The 19,816-nt window shown below is 38.2% G+C and overlaps 1 protein-coding gene across 7 annotated transcripts in view; it reads right to left on the bottom strand.

The window, feature by feature from the left end:
- DNAH8 (dynein axonemal heavy chain 8) overlaps positions 1–19,816 on the bottom strand; it is a 315,482-nt gene that overhangs the window by 45,563 nt on the left and 250,103 nt on the right. For all 7 annotated transcript variants that reach the window (XR_926078.3, NM_001206927.2, XM_011514319.3 and 4 more), the window contains 5 exons: positions 13,565–13,638; positions 11,417–11,569; positions 10,701–10,856; positions 2,768–2,884; positions 923–1,024 (listed from right to left, as the gene is read on the bottom strand). Coding sequence is in view for 6 of the 7 variants with exons in the window: in NM_001206927.2 (NP_001193856.1) it covers positions 923–1,024; positions 2,768–2,884; positions 10,701–10,856; positions 11,417–11,569; positions 13,565–13,638 (602 nt within the window). In the remaining variant the exon portion in view is untranslated. The remainder of the gene's footprint in view (positions 1–922; positions 1,025–2,767; positions 2,885–10,700; positions 10,857–11,416; positions 11,570–13,564; positions 13,639–19,816) is intronic.

Here is a 19,816-nt window from a genome sequence, read left to right as displayed (position 1 = left end):
TACATTCATCCTTGATGTGAAAGCCACAATTGCTAATAAACAATTTTCTCTAGAAAATATTTATCAGCATGTTATATGTGGATTTTATTTGGCACAGAGAAAAAGTGAACACTTCCTCAATTTCCAATTGTCTATCCTAATAGAAGAGATGAGAAAACTCAAATTATGATTAATCCCCCAATCACTTATTTTGGGGCTTGAAATCACCATAAGACTTTCACTCAGAGAAAGAGGCAGAGAAATGATGGCCAGTGTTTTCCTCACAAGTGAGGTGCACAGGAATGCGGAAGATGGAGGAGGGGCAGTGGGGGAGAGGCCCTGGGCACAAGCAGTTTCATCTACATGGGAAAGGAGTTATAGAGCAATGAGAACTGACCACTGCTCTGCTCTGCACCACAAGTAGATTGTTGGTTGGTTTTTGTTTTTGTTTTTGTTTTTTTGAGACAGAGTCTCACTCTGTCACCAGGCTGGAGTGCAGTGGTGCGATCCCGGTTCACTGCAACCTCCGCCTCCCAGGTTCAAGTGATTCTTCTGCCTCAGCCTCCTAAGTAGCTGGGACTACAGGAACTCACCACCACGCCCGGCTACTTTTTGTATTTTTAGTAGATACGGGGTTTCACCATATTGGCCAGGCTGGTCTAGAACTCCTGACCTCGTGATCCGCCCGCCTCAGTCTCCCAAAGTGCTGGGATTACAGGCGTGAGCCACCATGCCTGGCCCAATTGCTGGTTGTTGTGTGTGTGTGTGTGTGTGTGTGTGCATGTGTGTGCGTGTGTGTAAGCGCACACATGCATTTGTTTCTTGGCTAATTCTTTGCAGCAGCTCTGCTGTATGCTTGAGTTTGGCAGACCTATTACAAACAAAAAAATTGGAAAATACAGTGAAATGTGTCTCCAAACTTTATTTTTCTAAATTGACTTACTCTGGCAAAGCAATTAAGTAGACGTTTGTCAAAGTCATCTGTCACTCTGCCTCCATATTGTACTTCTCCGATCATGTACCGAACCGTATTCCATGATACACCCTTTATTAAAAGTAAAAAAGGATTATTAATTGTCAACCCAAACACATCATTATAAACATTTCGGGTCTTTCCCTAGAGGAAAGGTCTGGAAAAGGAAGCACTCACTAGACTCACATTTAAAATTATTCATCGTCTTATATTAATAACTCTTTCACTATTACATGGCTGGAACCACTACAGTTTGTTCACCAAGAAAAAATCTACAATACTAAACACTGGTAAGTATATTGCACGTATATTATTTAAAATAGGGAAAAAGACTAATTTTCACTCTGGGGATATAATTACCTATAATACTCATTGTAGTAATGCCAAGCTGTTACAGAGGAGGAAAGTGGTGTTTAGTGAAAAAAGGAGAAAAATCAAGTAATCATTGCTTTAATACGCTTTCTTAGTAATGTATTTTCTGGAATCATTACGAGAACAACAAGAAAATTATTTATCCACAAGATTTTTCCTCAATGCAATCCTCTGCCATCCTCTGCATCTCATTCTATGTGCTAAAACTACATCAAAATATTTATTAATTTCTATAGCAATTTTATACTAGCAATATATTGCAGTTTAGCAGTTTCTTTAAACCCTTGATACATTTGAGTTACGAGAAATAAGGATATTTGCTTTTTGTTTACTTTTTCTTGGTTAAAATTTTATTTTTCAGCTTGGTTGCCTTTCAAAGCAACTATTTTAAGGTAACTATTATTTGTATGTACCAAAATGATAAATGACCACAGAATATGAACACATAGAATATAACTTTTCATCAGACTGCCTTACTTTTAATTTCATATCCCTTTGTCATTTCAAGGAAAAATGACGGTTTGGTACTAGAGTAAACACTCATCATGGCTTACCACCCCATTACGGAAGCTTCAGAATCTCTAATTACCTTGAAGCCCTACTCTGTGGAAGAAGAGGGGGCCAGACTGCAGAGAGTCATATTGAATGAGCTCTTATTAGGTACTGTGTACTGTGCTTTCACAAATACTAACTCATTCGTTCCTCACAGAAACAATGTTCATTTTATAGATGAGGAAACAGGCTTTAAGGCTCATTAACTTGCCAAAGATTATAGAAAAAACAAATTTCCAACCCTTTATATGTGTGAAAGGACAACAGATTTTACGTTCTCAGCTCTGTGACCTTGAGGAAGTCTCTTAGTCTCTCCTGTCTGTTACCTCATCAGTAAAATGGGTAATAAATAAATAAATAATAATGCCTTTTTTATTGATCTCACAGGGTTGTGAAGATAAAAGTGAGATCCTGCACACATGAGAACTTTGAAAACTGCAAAGTGTCATATGATGATGAATGACCATTACTAGAAAGTATTGTTATTCATATGCATAAGCTGAGCAGTTAAGAAGTGACTTAAGGTGAGAAAGAACTTTCGCATGGGCAGGCAGATACCATCTTCACTTCTGAGGAGGCAGGAGTAGGACCAGTGAGGAGAAGCTTGACCTAAAGCACACCTTCTCTTGAAGTGCACTGTGGTCCCTGAGTGTAACATGAGGAAGGCTGCGGTATTTTGCAACACACTGAGTTAGTTAGCTTCAGAGGTATGTGAGTGTTGGGGGCAGGGACAGGCTGCCCCAGCAAGTGCCTGATTACAGCAACAAGTCCCTTCAAAGGGGGCTCCATGGGGCTCAGCAAATTCACACCTTATCATAGACTTCAAATGACTGTAGAACCCTGATTTAAGAAGAGCAATAAAAACAGGAAAAAAGGCATAATTTCACTCACTTTCTTAATATCGCATTCATCAAGGTGATTCTGAATAAACTGAACACTGGCTGAAAAGTCAGCAGAATTGAATTCGTAGGGAATATTCCATCCTAAGGGGCCAAATTTTCGTCGCTCCTTAAAAACACCAAAGAAAAGTAAGTATTGCATGTACCTGATTCCATTTTTATTGCTATCAAAATACAGTAAAATTAAGGCTATATTATCAAAATAAATTGACATTAGTTTAAAAGAATAGTATATACAATTTTGGATATACATTCATGTCGCTTAATGATGGGGTTACCTTCTGAGAAATGCATCATTAAGCAATTTCCTCACGCAAACATCTTAGAGGGCACTTACACAAACCTAGATGGTACAGCCTATACGCACCTAGGCTACATGATGTAGTCTATTGCTCCCAGGCTACAAACCTGTGCAGCATGTTACGGGACTGAATACTGCAGGCAACTGTAACACAATGGTAGGTATTTGTGTATCTAGACACATCTAAACACAGAAAAGGTACAGTAAAAATACATTATACTCTTACAGGACCACCACCGTATATGCAATCCATGTTGACTGAAACGTTATGTGGCATATAGCCATATTAGAAATATTACTTCATGGCTCTATAGCTAAGGGGTTTATATAAAGAAATCTCCAAAGATTTGCCAAGTTGGAGTTCTTGGGTTTTAAAAAAAGTCTAGGTCTCCACTGACAACTCAAAAAATGCAGTAGATGCTCAACAAATACCTGTTGAATGAACTGTTATTCTACAATGGACTCTTGAAAGTTTGAAATGTCAAATGCAAGGGTTTGAATTTTTTCAGTTGGATTATCTAAACCTCTCTCAAGAGCACTTAGATTCTGTGATGGCTTCCCTTTGCAATCTTGCCATTTCAGATTTTGAAAACTAAAAATTTCTGTTGTATACATGACGTGTCTGTCTTGAAACTTTCACATGACCCTCATTTGTTTCCCTCTACTTAATCAAAGAGGGCCTAAGAGACTCCTGTGCAATAGTGGCTAACTGTTTACAATTGTCAAATCACCAATAAATAATCAAACTGGACTCAGAGCAAATGATTCAATTGTTTTGATATTCCAGAGAGCATTTTAAAGGTATGGCAAGTATTAGACCTGATAGCTCCAAGAATTGATGATCCAACAACCCACATAGATGAGTCCAGATGTTTCTATGGCATCAGCTTTTCCTATCGCAACACATAATCAGTCTCTAAGGAAGGGCCAGGGATTTATTAGATTAGTTCCTAGACCCTAATTCTAGTGCCTAAGGTGAGGACTCATGTGGAGAGTAGAATCCCTATACATCTATGGGAATGTTTAATTCTACTCTTTTACCTCTAAGTATATACTAACTTTTCTTTTTCTTTTCTGCCTTCCCCAACTCAACACACACACACACACACACACACACACACACACTGCCGTTTTCACAAGCCATTCCAATCCTTCTTGCTGCAGCTGTTCCATGATTCCGATCCTGAATAATTCCACCATTTAAAAAAAAATCTAAATAAATTTTTGTTGGGACAAGTTCATGAACAAGTCAGAGAAGGAATTCAGAAAATTCAAAGGTTTGAATTACTGAGTTTCAGGGTATGCTTTTAAAGTATTTAGTAAACCATTAAGATTAATTTGGGTCTAGATGTTCTGACCCTGGGAGATCAGACTAAGAGCAACAATAATAATAATAATAATAGGAGTAGCTCTTAAAAACGTAAAGTACTACTGTTACCTCTAGACCTAAACTTCTTTAGTTAAGGTTGTCAGGCATTAGAGATTTGCGCTATGTGACACCCACACCTATCCCTTAGCTAATTTGATCCAAGGTAGACAGCCAACCCAAAAAGAACTGACCAGACCCCTTCTCCCAGGAATTTGGACTTAGGGTTTGTAATTGTTATCTGGGGCTTAGACTAAGAAAACTTGTAAACTCAGGAGCTGTGAAGAACCATCTTCCACCCTGTACTTAGAAGAGGTGAGGAGGAGCAGAGGCCATAGCCTGGAAGGGAGGAGAGACTGTGTGGTCCTAGGTGCAAGGGTGGGAGCCTTGGTCCCTAACATTGCTTCTCTTGACAGCTTCCTGCTTCCTAGTCCCAGCATTCATGTTGCCTTGGTTTTTGTTTTGTGGGTTTTTTAAGATGTTTCATATTGATATATGTGGTCCTGTAACCAGATTTTGAGTCTTGACAGTGAAAAACACGTCTTCTATTTTTGTCTCCCCTTTTGCACCTTGGGGGAAAGAATCATGGTTGCCTAATAAACACTGGTCGATTATTACCAGGGCAAAAGGAACCCTTTCTCTGTAAGAGGTCAATGCTGAGGCTCACCCAGTGTTTGGAATTTCTGAAGTGGACTCAGAAACATTGAGGTGAGCCTCTTCCAGATTATACCAGGAGCAAGGGTGGGTGGAGAGGGTTATGGGATATTAACATGAAAATTCATACAGCTAACCGTTTTAGTTCTTGGAATTTCTTCCATCTTGAGGACTTTGAAGAGAAGAATGCTAATGACTTATTAGTGAAATGTGAATGTTTTCCCATTTTTGAAAAAGAGGATCAGAATTTATACCATTAGTTTTACCTATGTGTTTGATTTAATTTTTAAATTTTAATGTTCAATTAGATGGGTGGCCAAATGAAAAATAACTCCAATTACTAAAGCTGCTCAAATTGACTCTATGGAAACACTCCTATTTATATGCACTGAGCAACTGCAATTTAGTTGTTCTTTAAAATGTGAGTTTTGAAAATTGCCCTAATGCTGAGATTTGCTTCATGTTTATATTTCTTACTACCAATTTTCATCTAAAGCATTTACTTTTTAAGTTGGTTCACTAAAGTCATAAACTGATTAGCTCATCTTGGGAAAAAAAGCCCAAAATCTTAGTGGGTGCCTTTTCTTTCACAAATGAAGTCATTTCATCTTCTTGCTATTTTTTTAAATTACCTTGGAATACTATCAGGATAGACTCAAACAACTAGAACCTAAGAACTCATTTGGAAGATCAAAGCAAGGGGTTTTGCTGGACTTATTTGGAATATTGAATTTCTTCAGTTTAATTAACATTTTTGAAACCATGGGATGAGTCCTATGCAATACAATAAAAAATATCAAAAAGGATGCATTTTCAAGAAGTTTTAATCTGTTGCAAAAATAAGACTTGGAGACAAGAAAAAGAATAATGGGATAGTGAATATAATTAACTGTCAAAATTTCACAATGATAAGCCTGAAGGAGACGTTCAATCAGAGGCTTCTGGGAAGAATAAAACTGAAGCTGGTCTTTACAAGGAGGAGAGAAGAGACTTCCAGGCTTGGCAAAGGCCATGAGCAAAACTAGGAACACAAATCCTGTGACTTGTGGAGAAAAAGGCTGCAGACAGAAGGTTCTACTGCAGTAGCGGGCTAGTTCTGGTGAGTAGCAGCAACTCAGTGGTCACGTGCTTCAAGACATGGAATGCAGACAAATTTGAATGTTAAAACTTCATTCGACAGAAGGGAGAGGACTGTCCATCATTAAGATGGTGACTGATGATTTTAGGAAAACCAGTCCACTCCCTACTTAATTTGATTAATACAGTTTCTTCTTTTCATTTCACAGAATATACAAAACTCTGAACTACTAGAGAAATATGGAAAATGTGGAATCATGAAAAACTCCTTAGAACACTGATGAAAAGTTGTTCAATCATTTTAATGATGTCAGAGCCATTTCCAATTTTACGTTAGGTTCTACCTCAGCAGTTCCCACAGAGCTGCAGAATCATTTCACAGCTTCAAAACCAGACAACTGGAGTTAACTGTCTAACTCCAATAACTGGAGCTAATATACAAAGAAAAATACAAGCCACACTAGACAATGTAAGGGAAACTTTACTAGGTAAAAATAGTTGACAGAAGCAGCCAGAACCTCTGGGAAACACTATGGGGCAGAGTGTAAAAGATAAACCAGTATCATATTACCATAATCATTCAAAGACATTTAAATGAGGAATTTTATAACCATCTCTCCCCAAAGCAAGAACTTTATATGCACTATTAAATTTGAAAGGAATGTTTATCAAGGCTCAAACTTGAGAAAGAAAACGAAATGTAGGGGAAGCAAACACTTTTCCGAATGAAGAACTGTTAATAGTGAGATTCCCTGGGCCCTATTGATAGGGCCCCTTTTATTTACTATCTAAGTAATTTTTAAGGGCCACGATAGAATTTCCAAGTTTGCAACTGCCACTATAGGCCCTTAGAGATCCTAATCAATAACTTTAGCTAAAAAAGAAAAATGAAAAAGAAAAGAGCACCTCACCTCACAGAGTTATATATAAGCTGTTTGAAAAGTCATAAAGAAATACGCAGTTCAATGTGGACAAACCAAGGTGATGGGGAGAAAAACTCCAGACTATGAAATGGATGTAAAAGTGGTTCAAGACTCTTCCCTTAAGGGTTGTGGCCATTTGGCCATTATTTTCAATTCTTGCCACATATCAGGATCACTTGGAAGTTTTTAAAAAGACTGAGCTCCTTCCTTTTGGCCTCCTGGGGATTTTGACTTAAGTGTCCTGTTCTGGGGCCCAGGCATTGGCTGAGAAGACAATTGTAGATAATTGGCTGAGAAGACCACTTAAGACATTTACTCGGTCCAATACACACCTCAAAGAGTGGCACATTGACAATCAATAGGAAAAAAATAACCCATAGAACATTATTCTGATCTTCTGCAGGAGGTGTTAGGAAGTGGCTAAAAATGTAATGATTGAGTTTCAAAAGACTAAGACTTTGGAGGAAAATGTGCTTAAAATTAAAATCCCAAAGGGTGAATGTGGGCTTGCTCTCAAGCCCAGAACGATGCTACACTGGATGCTACACCACCCAGGAAAGCACAGAGACAGAATACCGAGGCCAGAGAGAAGCTTCCCTCCTAAGTAATCTTCAAGAGGATGCTGAAACATTCTCAGGGAGTGGCAGCCAAACCGAGCCCAGGCACACACCAGGGTCCTGGGAATAAAAGGCTCCCATAAGGAAGGCAGAAGGGCCACTGGCAAAAGCAGAGACATCACTGGACTGCAGCAGGGGTGGGGGCTTCAGCAGTAACTTCCCCTCTCAGGGTAGCTGCTACTGCTCTGTGTGGATAGTAAGTTGCTGGAGGAGAAGGGGAGTGGCAGGGAGCAGAGCTTAGTGCGGCGTTGCCTCGTGCATCTATGCATGTTCCCATGGCAGCACCCAGGGCACCCTCCTCCTGGGAAAGCCTGCTCCCACCTCAAGAATAAAGCAAACCACGCCCTCCACCACTCTTCTGCCCAAGTTATCCTTGACCAGCCAAATTTACTTCCCCTTCTCCCAGAAAAGGAGAGGTGCTCATTTTGTTCCCTGCAACTGAAGTAGAATCCACATATCATGCCTATGAACTGGGGTAAGCTGATGGCATAATGCCACCCAAACCAGGATTCCAAGGGAGAATTTACATTTTTTACTGGAGAGCAGGCAGGGAGTTGGCTATTTTACTCCTGGGTTCTGCATTGTAATGTGGGATGAACTCCAGCATGAACCCCTCTGGAGCTTCAGATCCTGTGCCTAATTCTTTTTTCAGTCTGTCTCTGCAAGAACAAAAGTACATATAACATGTTTGTTTAAAGCAACGGATACCTGTTTTAATTTGGAGGACTCAATTAATCAATTAACAAATCAGATGTTTGGCTCTTATACTCAACACTAGAGAGAGAAAAGAAACGTAAGTCACAAACAATCTAATCCACAACATTCCTTCCTATAGCAGTTGAGTCTCAGACATTCAGGTGCATACAAATCATGTAGGTATCTTGGTACAATGCAGACTGATTTAGGAGAGTCTGAGGCGAGATCTGACATGCACCTCCAACAAGCTCCCAAGTGATGTTGATGCTTCTGGCCCAAGACAACAAGTCTCTGAAGAATTTTGGATTTTTCTATCAAGCTGTCCCTATCCTAACCAAGTAAAAAAAATATTTACACAAAATCACAGCAAACACTTCTGTGATATTTCTGAAACATATGTCTAAAATTCCCAGGAGATTTTGGAAATATCACAGTAAACACTTCTGAAATTGATGAAAAAGAATTACCTACACTCACTGTATTGTCACAGAATTGGGCGATGGAATTTTAGAAATTGAAAAAAACCTTGAAAGATCACCTACTTCTGCCTCTAACTGCACAGATGGGGAAACAGAAGCCCTGAGAGAGACATAACTTGATCAACTAACTGCTTTCAGCTAACTGATTTCACAGCAAGCACGAAAGTCCAGGCCTCCTGACTCTTAGTGAAGTGTTATTTCTAGCCCTCTATTATTTGATTTTAAGAGATATTCAGCCTTTTATTCCTGGACACTCCACTGGTAACTTCACCGCCCTAGCAGTGAAAATATTTTTCCTCCGTTTTAACCCAAACACATGTGGTGTTAAGTGCAAGGGCACTTTAGCCCCATGGCTGGACCATGGTCCTGTTGCTCTTCTTCCCTTTAGCACTTGGATAATGGCCACTAAAAACACAGGTTGCCACATTAACCATATGGCAAATACCCCCAACCAGCTCTCCATGATAAGCACAGTGGAAGAGTTGAATCATCACTACTGGGAACACAATCATAAAATATTATTTGTGAATTGGGAATGAAATAGCAGAGTTAAAGCAATATTTGTATTAGGATGTGATAAGGTCTAGCAAAGCGAACAATTCCCAGATAAGAATGTATGAAATAGGCTTCTGTGACTTGAAAGCTGTAATTGACAATCCAAAGGCCACAATGGAACTTAGTAAAGATAACCACCAGCAAAGCATTTAATCTGATTTTAACTTTCTCAGTGTTGGGAGGCAGACAAACACCACATCCCTCTCCTGGGCAGCCAGGAACCTAGTAAAGTGGTAGGGATAATGAATTAGGGGTAAATACACACAGTATTTTCTGGGATGAGCATTAAGTTCCCCTCCATCTTTGGACAGGGCAGGGAGAGGTAATGTGAAGTTCTGCCCATCACTGTACACAGCTAAAAGCCTGACTCCTGGGATAGACCAACTGATTTATTTTGTCCTTCACCCCAACCCCAGGAAAGAAAGAACTCCAGGTAGGGCTTAAAGGAATCTCTTCAATTCTCTGTGAAATCAAGGAATGGATCCAGTGCATTGAAAATGTATAGCTTTTGAATTACAGAACAAAATATAAAATTCAGATGCAGAACAAAACACTAACAATAATTTAAAAAATCGTAACAGACAAGTTGCTTGGTAATCATAAAATTATTAAATTACTGCGTCAGTACTAAGACTGTAAAAGCAAACAGCAAATGACTTGAGAAAGACAGGGAGCTGCTGTTCCTCCTCCTCCTCCAACATCACCACCACTTTTACTATCAGGTAATAAATAGAGTCAAAACAATACATAAATCAGAGCCAGCCAATCCTAGTTCAGCCAATCCTAGCAACCACATTTGAAGAGTACTTAACATCTTTGGGATGGTGATAATCCTATCTTGAAATGTGGTTGTTAGTATTACAGGAGATGGTGCACATAAAATTCTTGGCCAGCACAGGCACTTTCAAAACCAAGCTCCTATCTTTATAATCCATTAGCTCATTCTACAAATATTTATTGAGCTCTGACAATCCCCTGCGTGCTGTTGTGACAGTAGGAGAGTCAGCAGTTACGAAAAGACAGTCTTCACCCTGGAGAATCTTACATTCCAATAGTCAGGGTTGGGGGTTGGGGCAGGGGGCACACACAAAATACATAAACAAATATACACTATACCAGGTGGGGAAAGTGCTATGAAGGAAAAGAGAGTAAGGAGACAGAGCGGCAACGGATAGCACCCTCCTGGAAGCCTCTCCAATGGGGCCTCAGCACACCACTGGCCATCTCCTAAATGTGAAAACTGCTTTCTGCAGTTACCTGCACAGTGGAGTGTAAAAATGCTACTGTGTAAAGCATCGGCTTCCACATGGGTAAATTACTGATGTCCAGAAGGTCTTGATTAATTCCAGCAAATGTTCTTTTCAAACCTGCGCGTACACCTTGGGGTGGCTCATTAGTGAATTTGAGAGAGGTCTGTCATGAAAAGAAAACAGTGCTTTTGTTTCTATAAATTACTATAAAGAATAAAATAGAAATTACAATATTAGGCTGAATATCCTTTATCTGAAATGCTTGGGACTGGAAGTGTTTTGAATTTCAGATTTTGGAATATTAGCATTAAATTGTTATATGAGCATTGCCTTTGAGCATTCTATTGGCATTGAGAATGTTTCAGATTTTGGAGCATTTCGGGTTTCGATTTTCAGATTTAGGATGCTCAACCTGTATATCAGAAAACAATATGCTTATGGTACATAAAGTGGGGGCAAAGTTCAGCATTGTATAAACTAAGTACATTGATCAGAGCTGAAACTCAATAAATTAGTACTAAGTCTTAGAGCTCTTCTATGGAAATATTTACTACAGTCTAACCTTGATGTCAAGATTTTGATGATTATAGTATTATAGTATAAGATCTTGCAGTCCAGACCCTACAGGACCAAAAAGCCCTGTTGTGTTCCCATCTTTCAACAATGTCAATGATGTCATCTTTATTACTATGACTCTCGATGAAAAGACGTTTAGTAACAAACCTGAAGCAATGTAATTGGAAATCGATCATGGGGCTCCGTAGTTATCCATACTCGGAAAGAATCATCACTGGCTTCAGTGGTAATTAGCGTCTCTAGTAATTCTTCCATGAATTCCAGGCCAAGGTGGCAATTTTGTAGTAATACCCAACCACCCTGTATCCAAAAATAAGTTCATATTTATTTCTTGTAACCTTTTTGCTATGATTTTAATAAAACAAAATGTGCACTTTTTTTAAAAACCATGTGAATACTCTGTTTTGAACACATTTTTAAAAATTATATGTCAATACAATCATTTCTCCTGCTATGGTACAAGTAATTGGTACAAGCTAATTACTTAGAATCAAGTGGGTTCAAAATGATTGTATTCTGCCACCCCTGGTTCAGAAAGGAACAGAAATTAAAACTTGAAGGCAGACTTGTGTAAGTACAGTGTGTGCACCATCTAATGGTGGGAACGGGTATTTTGGAATCAGTAACAAGTTGTCCTGCCTAAGGTAAATCAGAACTGACTCACCCCCAAAACCCAGAAGACTGGTTCACAGTTATTCATAGTTACAAAGAAAGATACACATGATCTCATGAAAGCTGGAGACAATACGTTTGGTGACATTTACTACCATAATGCTAAGCTTTATTCTTTATCATCACTCTCCACACTTTCCTGAAACCACATAACTTATTAAGCACTTTCTAAATAAATACTTGATTAAACAAACTACCTTAAACAATATGTCACAAAACCATCACTGCCCTGTGAGAACATAGTTTCTTTACTAGACATTTTAATACCTTTATACAGGAATCAGCTATCTTGAACTACATAAAACTACAAAATAGTGAGCATGATAAATATATGGCAAGGCATATATACCATGTCTCAACTGTAAGCGAAAATACAACTCACACCGGCTTAACTAGTAAAGGGGATGTGCCGTCTATACAACTGGGGTTTCAGAGGAAAACAGCATTCAGGATTAGTTTGTGTCATCATGGACCCACTTACTTTCTGGTTCCCCACTCTGTGTTCCACAATGCCAGCTTTATGCTAAACATGGTGTCCCTCAAGGCGGCAACATGGCTGCACCTGCTCATGTCTGGTTTTCTTTTCTGATTATGCCATATAATCAATACTTACCCCACTTTGACAAACAGACCATGGAAGTTATAAAGGCTAGTATTCCAAAGACAGTTAACATGAACACCGTATTTAAATTAAAGTTTTGCACCCACAGAAACTAAAGAAATTATTTAAGGCCCAAAGTTAAACTGTCAAATCACTCAATAGAGTGAAACATTTGATCCGAGTAAAAATAATTATGTATAATTGCTTTGAGATATACATGTATAAATTAAATAAATTATTGAATTTAATTAAGTGATAAAGATTGAGGCTTAGGGCATTTGAGAATTAATGACTAGCTGGAAAAGTTGATGACCCAACAGAGTTTTAGCCCATTAACCCTCTCTAGTCATTAATTCCCAGGGAAAAGCTGCACCAAAGTTTGTACAGACATTCTGAGATCAAAAGCTTAAAAATAAACCAATATCTTATTTTATTTTTATAAATGGTATAATTTCTTATTACAGCTGAAATGGCTATCTACAGAGCATTTCTAGAAAATTAATGTCCTGTGTATTTATTAGGTGTGATGGGAAATCTCTCTCAACACTCCATTCAGCTTGCAATTATTAGTGAAAACCATTATCAGTATTTAAACATAGCATCCTTAAATATTCCTTCTTTGCCTGAAATGATCCGTTAATGAAAAATGAAAGTCTGCCTTTAACTGAAAATGGAAATTTAACTGTCTCAATCTGTCACTCCTTAAGTACTACCTATTCATATTGATCATGAAATTCCAAGACTGCTAGAGATGCATTCTTAGAAATCAGAAGGTGTGTCTCCCAAATCATAAAACGAACAAAAAATTGGTGAAGGTAAAATGGAGCATATACTATAGAAAATGGAATAAGCTTTCCATGCGAATATCAGGAGGAAACTAGACTGAGGTTTAAAATTCACAGGTAATGATAAACAAAAATGGAAAAACCAGGATTGAGCATCACGAGAAGAATGTGGTAACATCCATGATTGTGGGGTTTCTAGCAATAATGTTGCAGCAGGAGCAGTCTCTTGTCACATACCTGCTGCATTGACATCTGAATCAGCTTTCGAGCATGTACTTCTTGTCCTTGCCCCATTGAGATAGTTCTACATTCTGTAACATAGGAGAAAGTTCACTATGATGAAACACAACTCTTACAGCAGGATTAGAATGAAAAATTAATTTCTGAATGATTATAGCCTCCTTCTATTGTTTCTAAAAAAAAAAAAAAATCTTTGCTGTTCAAACAGGCCTGGCCTTTGGTTGTGTGGATCAGAGAAATGCATGGAGCAGAGACCTGGAGGCACCACCCGGAAAAGCGTGGGTTGGGGGTCAGGAAGGGAGAGAAAAAGGCACGTATGGTGGGCTTTTAGAGAGTTTGAGATTCTTTGGAGACAATGAGGAACAAGATCAATGGTGGGAGAGGCAACTACAATGCTATCACAGGTATTTGTAGGGAAAAAGGATTTTTTAGTTTTGCTGTAAGTTTTGGTTAGAATCCTTTTCGGCGTTTTAGCAGACGCTTCTGTAAAGATTTAATTTTCTGTTTATTCCTTTTAGATATCAGGCTCACAGTGTTTTCTGTCTGCTTGTTTTGGTTTTCTTTGTATGTTTGATCATTTTTCTGAGATGAAATTTGAGACAGTTCAGCCCTGTGACGGGTACATTCAGGGGCAACTGTCTAAGACCTAGTTCTCAGCTGCTCCTCAGATTAAATCACCACCTTGGAACTAAACATGAAAACACTCCACGATGAGAAATGTCATAATTCCAGAGATAATACACCATTTAGGACCAGATGTCCCAGGCAGAGAACCATGCTTGTGACCTCCCACATGAATTAGCTAAAATGAAGAAGTCTGAGAATCATGTTTGCACAACTGCAATTGGAAATTAACTCTTAAGCAAGCCCTTGTGGACCCAAATTTTCTTGAGTTCTAGAGGCATAATCCCTGTACAAGGAAAAGCAATCAATGGAGACATTGTGAACCAGTGTGTGTTTATGGTAACTGCTGGTAGAGACTATAAGAAGCTGGAGACTTCATGGGGTGGGGAGGGAAGTATGTCAGAAACCAGAGACACTGTCAGGACACACCATTTAAATGGCATCCTGTGGTTAATGGCCAGATATTCTGAGAGGGTCTGCAGGGTGCAAGATTAGGGATTATTCGTGGGCTCAGGGTCACAGGGAGACACTTTGCAATGAGAGCCTGAAGGAGGATGGAAGAGCACTCACTGCTTGGAGAATCAGGAATTGAAATGGGCCAAGTATTAACAAGCAAAGGTGGATTTTCCCACCAAAGCCCACATGAATCTTTCCAGCTCCTAAGGGGAATCTGGCACCTGAAAAGAATCCCACCCAGCCTATAAAAGCAGAAGAAAGGAGAGGCGTGACTTGAATGGGAGGAGCCTCTGGATCGTGGATAGATATCGAGCCCCACTTATTTCGGAAGAACACACAAATGTTCAATAGATCAATGAGGGAAAGTGATAGGCTCAAAAAGTATTAACACATGAGTGTGAGCCACAGCCTCTCTGTCTTCTTCCAACTCCTCTGAAACACACCTTCTACAAGGAAGGTCTAGTTTTCGTTCAGGTGGCCCTGGGACAGTTGTTGCTTGATCCAGGTATTGGGTCAAGAGGCGATTTAGAGGCATCCCTTCATATCCAGAATCTGGCCATTTCCCAACTCTGCTTTTATTTCCTGGTGTAAGTGACCGCCACCTCTTGCCTAGATTCTTGGAATGGCCTCCTAACTGGTGACAACCTCACTTCCACCCTTGTCCTCTACTAGCTATTCTTCCTACAGCAGCCAGAGGGGTCTCTCAAGCCCTAAATCAGATTATGTTCATCCTCTGCTCAGAACCATCCAATGGCTTCCCATTGCATCCAAGGCAAAATCCAAAATCCAAACCAAAGTTCTTATTTACAGACTATAAGGCCCTACACAATCAGTCCCTGCTACTGCTGCCACACACCACCCCCCACTCCCCCCCACACACACCTTTTCTTATCTCACCACCCCCCTATCCATTCACTTTCCTCCATCCATAACAGCCTCCTCCCCAGGCCCACCCCAGCCTCATTGGTGTTCCCTCCTTCAGAGTTCCAGACTCACTCCCTTCACATCTCAGGTTTTTCTCACCCTGTCAGCAAGACTTTCCTGACGGACCTTGTTCTATCTAAAACGGCACACCTCTCCCATCACTCTGTCCCTTCCCCTGCTTCTTAGCATATTTTATACTTTTCTTCTTAGGATATTATGTACTACCTTGTTTATCAATAACTGTCTGTTTTATCCCCAGTCTAGAATATCAGCTAGGGACTTAGACATGGTGGCCAACCCAGCACCTAGATAGTGCCTGGCACTCAGTAGATGCTCAATAAATATATATTTCTGAACCTTTATAATTGAGGTATAATTTCCATATAAATTATGAAATATATACTTCATTATAAAGTGTATACTTTAATATTTTAAAATATGTTTTTAGAGTTGCATAACTATCACTACTATCAAATCATCTAATTCCAGAACATTTTCATCAACCCCAAAAGAAACCCCATACCCATTAGCAGTCACTTCCCATTCCCCCTTCCCACCCCAGCAATCACCAATCTACTTTGTCTCTATTCCAGACATTTCATTAAATGGAATTATGCAATATATGGTCTTTTGTGTCTGTCTTCCTTCAGTTAGCATGCTTTCAAGGTTCATCCATATTGTAGCATGTATTACTTCATTCCTTTTTATGGCTGACTAAGAGTTCACAGCATGGATATACCACATTTCTTTATCTGTTCATCAGCCCCAGACATTTGGGTTGTTTTCACTTTTTAGCTAGTATGAGTAATGCTGCTATGAGCATTCACATACAAGTTTTTGGGTGGATGTATATTTTCAGTTTTTTGGGGGTATATACTTAGAGGCAAGTTTGCTGAGTCATGTGGTAACCCTATCTTTAACTTTCTGAGAAACTGCTAGACTGTTTTCCAAAGCAGCTGCACCATTTTACATTTCCGTTGGCAATGTATGAATGTTCTAATTTTTCCACATCCTTACCAATACTTGCTGTTGTCCCTGTCTTTGATTATAGCTATCTTAGTGGGAATGAAGAAATATCTCATTGTGATTTTAATTTGCATTTCCCTAATAACTAACAAAGCTGAGTATCTTTTCATGTGTTTATTGGCCATTTGTACATCTTCCTTGTAGAAATATCCATTCAAATCCTTTGCCCATTTTTAAATTGGGTAATTTGACTATTGTTGAGTTGTAAGAGGTCTTTATATATTCTGGATACTAGACCCTTAACAGATGTATGATTTGCAAATATTTTCTCCTATTTTATAGGTTGTCCTCTGATGGTGCCCTCTGAAGCACAAAGTTTTACATTTTGATGAAGTCCAATTTATCAATATTTCCTTTTATTGCTTATGTTTTTGGTTTCATATCTAGAAAACCATTGCCTAATCCACGGCCTCAAAGATTTACTCTTATTTTTTTTACTAAGTATGTTATGGTTTTAGTGTTTACAGTTAAGTCTCTGATTGATTTTGAGTTAATTTTTGTGTATGTTGTGATGTAAAAACCACACTTCATTCCTTTGCAAATGCATATCAGTTCTTCCAGCACCATTTGTTAAGAAGATTGTCTTTTCCAACATTGCATGGTCTTAGAACCCTTGTTGAGAACCAACTCACCATAATATGTGAGGGCTGGGTTTATTTCTGGACTCTCAATTCTGCATTGAGATATATATTCTTTGCAATGATATATATCTTTATGCCCATATCACACTGTTTTAATTACTGTAGCTTTGTAGTAAGTCTTGATTTTGGGAAGCATAAGTCCTATAGCTTTGTTCTTTCTTTTCAAGATTGTTTTAGTTATCTTGGGTCCCATGAATTTCCATACAAATTTTAGGATCGTCTTGTCAATTTCTATTTTTAAAAAAGGCTGTTGGGATTTTTATAGGGATTGAGTTAAATCTCTTGATCTATTAGATGAGTACTGGCATTTTACCAAAGTCTCCTGATCCATGAACACTGGATGTCTTTCCATTTATTTAGGTATTTAATTTTTTAATGATGTTTTTTAGTTTTCAATGTACAAATCTTCCACTTCTTTTATTGAATTTATTCCTAAGTATTTTATTTTTAATAATATTGTAAAGGAATTGTAATGTGTTTATGATTTCATTTTTGAATTGTTCTTGCTAGTGCATAGAAATACAATAGCTTTTAAATATTGATCTTGTATCCTACAATCTTGCTGAACTCATCTATTAGCTCTAATTGTTTTTTGGTAAACAACTTATAATTTTTTATGCACAAATTCATGTCACAATCATAGAGGCAGTTTTACTTCTTCCTTTCCAATGTAGATGGTTTTTTTTTTTCTTTGCCTGGTCTGATTGCCCTATCTAGAACCACCAATACAATGCTGAATAAAAGTCGTAAGAGTAGACATCCTTGTCTTTCTCCTGATCTTTGGGAGAAGGCATTCAGTCTTTTACCATTAAGTGTGACATTAACCGTGAGTTTTTTGTAGGTGCCTTTTATCAGGTTGAGAAAATTTCCTCCTATTCCTAGTTTGCTAGTCCATATTTATCAATGTTTTCAATGCTTTTCTGCATCTGCAATGGACTAAATGTTTATGTACCCCTAAAATTCATATGTTGAAACCTAAACCCCAAAGTGATGGTACTAGGAAGTGACAAGGTATTAAGAGTGGGATTAGTGACCTTATAAAAGATGCCCTCCTTCCACCATGTGAAGACACAATGAGAAGTCATCTATGAAATAGGAAACCGGCCTTTATCAGCTACTGAATCGGCCAAGGTCTTGATCTTGGACTCTCAGCCTCCAGAACTATCAGAAATAAATTTCTATGCTTATAAGCTACCCAGTCTATGGTAGTTTGTTGCAGCAGCTCAAACAGACTAAGACAGCATCTGTTGAGATGATCATGTGGTTGTTGTCTATTATTCTATTAATATGGTATATTACATTGATTGATATTCATATGTTTAACCAATCTCATACTCCTGGGATTAATTCACTTGGTCATAGTGTATAATGTTTTTATATGGTGCTGCATTTGGTTTGATAATACTTTGTTGAGAATTTTGTTTCTATGTGCCTAAGGGATAATGGTCTGTAGTTTTTTCTATGTGTGATGTCTTTGTCTGCATTTGGTATCATGGTAATACTGGTCTCAGAATGGGTTGAAAAGTGTTCCCTCCTCTTTTATTTTTTAGAAAAGCTGAGAAAAACTAGTGCTATTCTTTAAAATTTTGCTAGAATTCACCAATGAAGCCATCTGGGACTAAGATTCCTTTTGTGTGAATTTTTTGATTAATGAATAAATCTCCATACTTCTTATGGCTCTATTCAGATTTTCTACATCTTCTTGAGTCAGTTTCAATAGTTATTTCTAATATTTTTTCCATTTCATCTAGGTTATCTAATTTGTTGGCATAATTGTTCACAGTATTCCCTTAGGAGTTTTTAAATTTGGGTAAGTAGTTACGCCCCTCTTTCATTGCTGATTTTAGTAATCTTCACTTTCTCTTCTTTATTCTTGGTTAGTTTAGCTAAATATTTGTCAGTTTTATTGATCTTTCAAAAAAGATACCTTTGACTTCTTGATTCTTTGTTGTTTTTCTATTATCTGGCTTTTTTTGCTCGCATATTTATTATTTCCTTTCTTTTGACTGCTTTGAGTTTAGTTTGCTCTTCTTTTCTAAGTTTCTTAATGTGGAAGGTTGTTATTAATTTGTAATCTTTCTTCATTTAATATAAGGTGATAAATATTTTATATCTTTTCTGAGTGGCCTGGGGAAGAAAAAGATTGATTGGCATTGAAAAAGTGAGAAACATTCCCACGCAAGGAAGGAAAGGGGCCAATGAGACAAGAAACAGCATAGGCTGAGTTTTTACAGGTGGGGGGCAAAGACTGCCAAGATATCATAAGGGGGACTCTCAAGAGAAGCGTGTATGCAGGAAACATTGGAGGAAGTGTTGCTGCAGGTGATACAGTATAATTACACTTTGGTGGTTTAGGTTTTGTTTTAATTGTTTGTATTTGAAAGACTTTAGTAAAATTTTGACTGCCTTTATATTCCTTTCCAAAATTAGGCTTGTGTCTCTTCCACTTTTTCTTATTTTTTTGGATTTACTTCTAATTAAATAATATATGTTCACATTAAAAGGTTTGAAAAATACAGGAGCATATAAAGAAGGAAATAAAAATCACCAATATTCCTCCCTAGAGATCTTTATTCTA

The sequence above is a fragment of the Homo sapiens genome, chromosome 6 (assembly GCF_000001405.40).
Source record: "Homo sapiens chromosome 6, GRCh38.p14 Primary Assembly".
Classification (NCBI taxonomy): Eukaryota; Metazoa; Chordata; class Mammalia; order Primates; family Hominidae; genus Homo; species Homo sapiens.
This window is presented reverse-complemented; position numbering and strand designations above follow the sequence as displayed.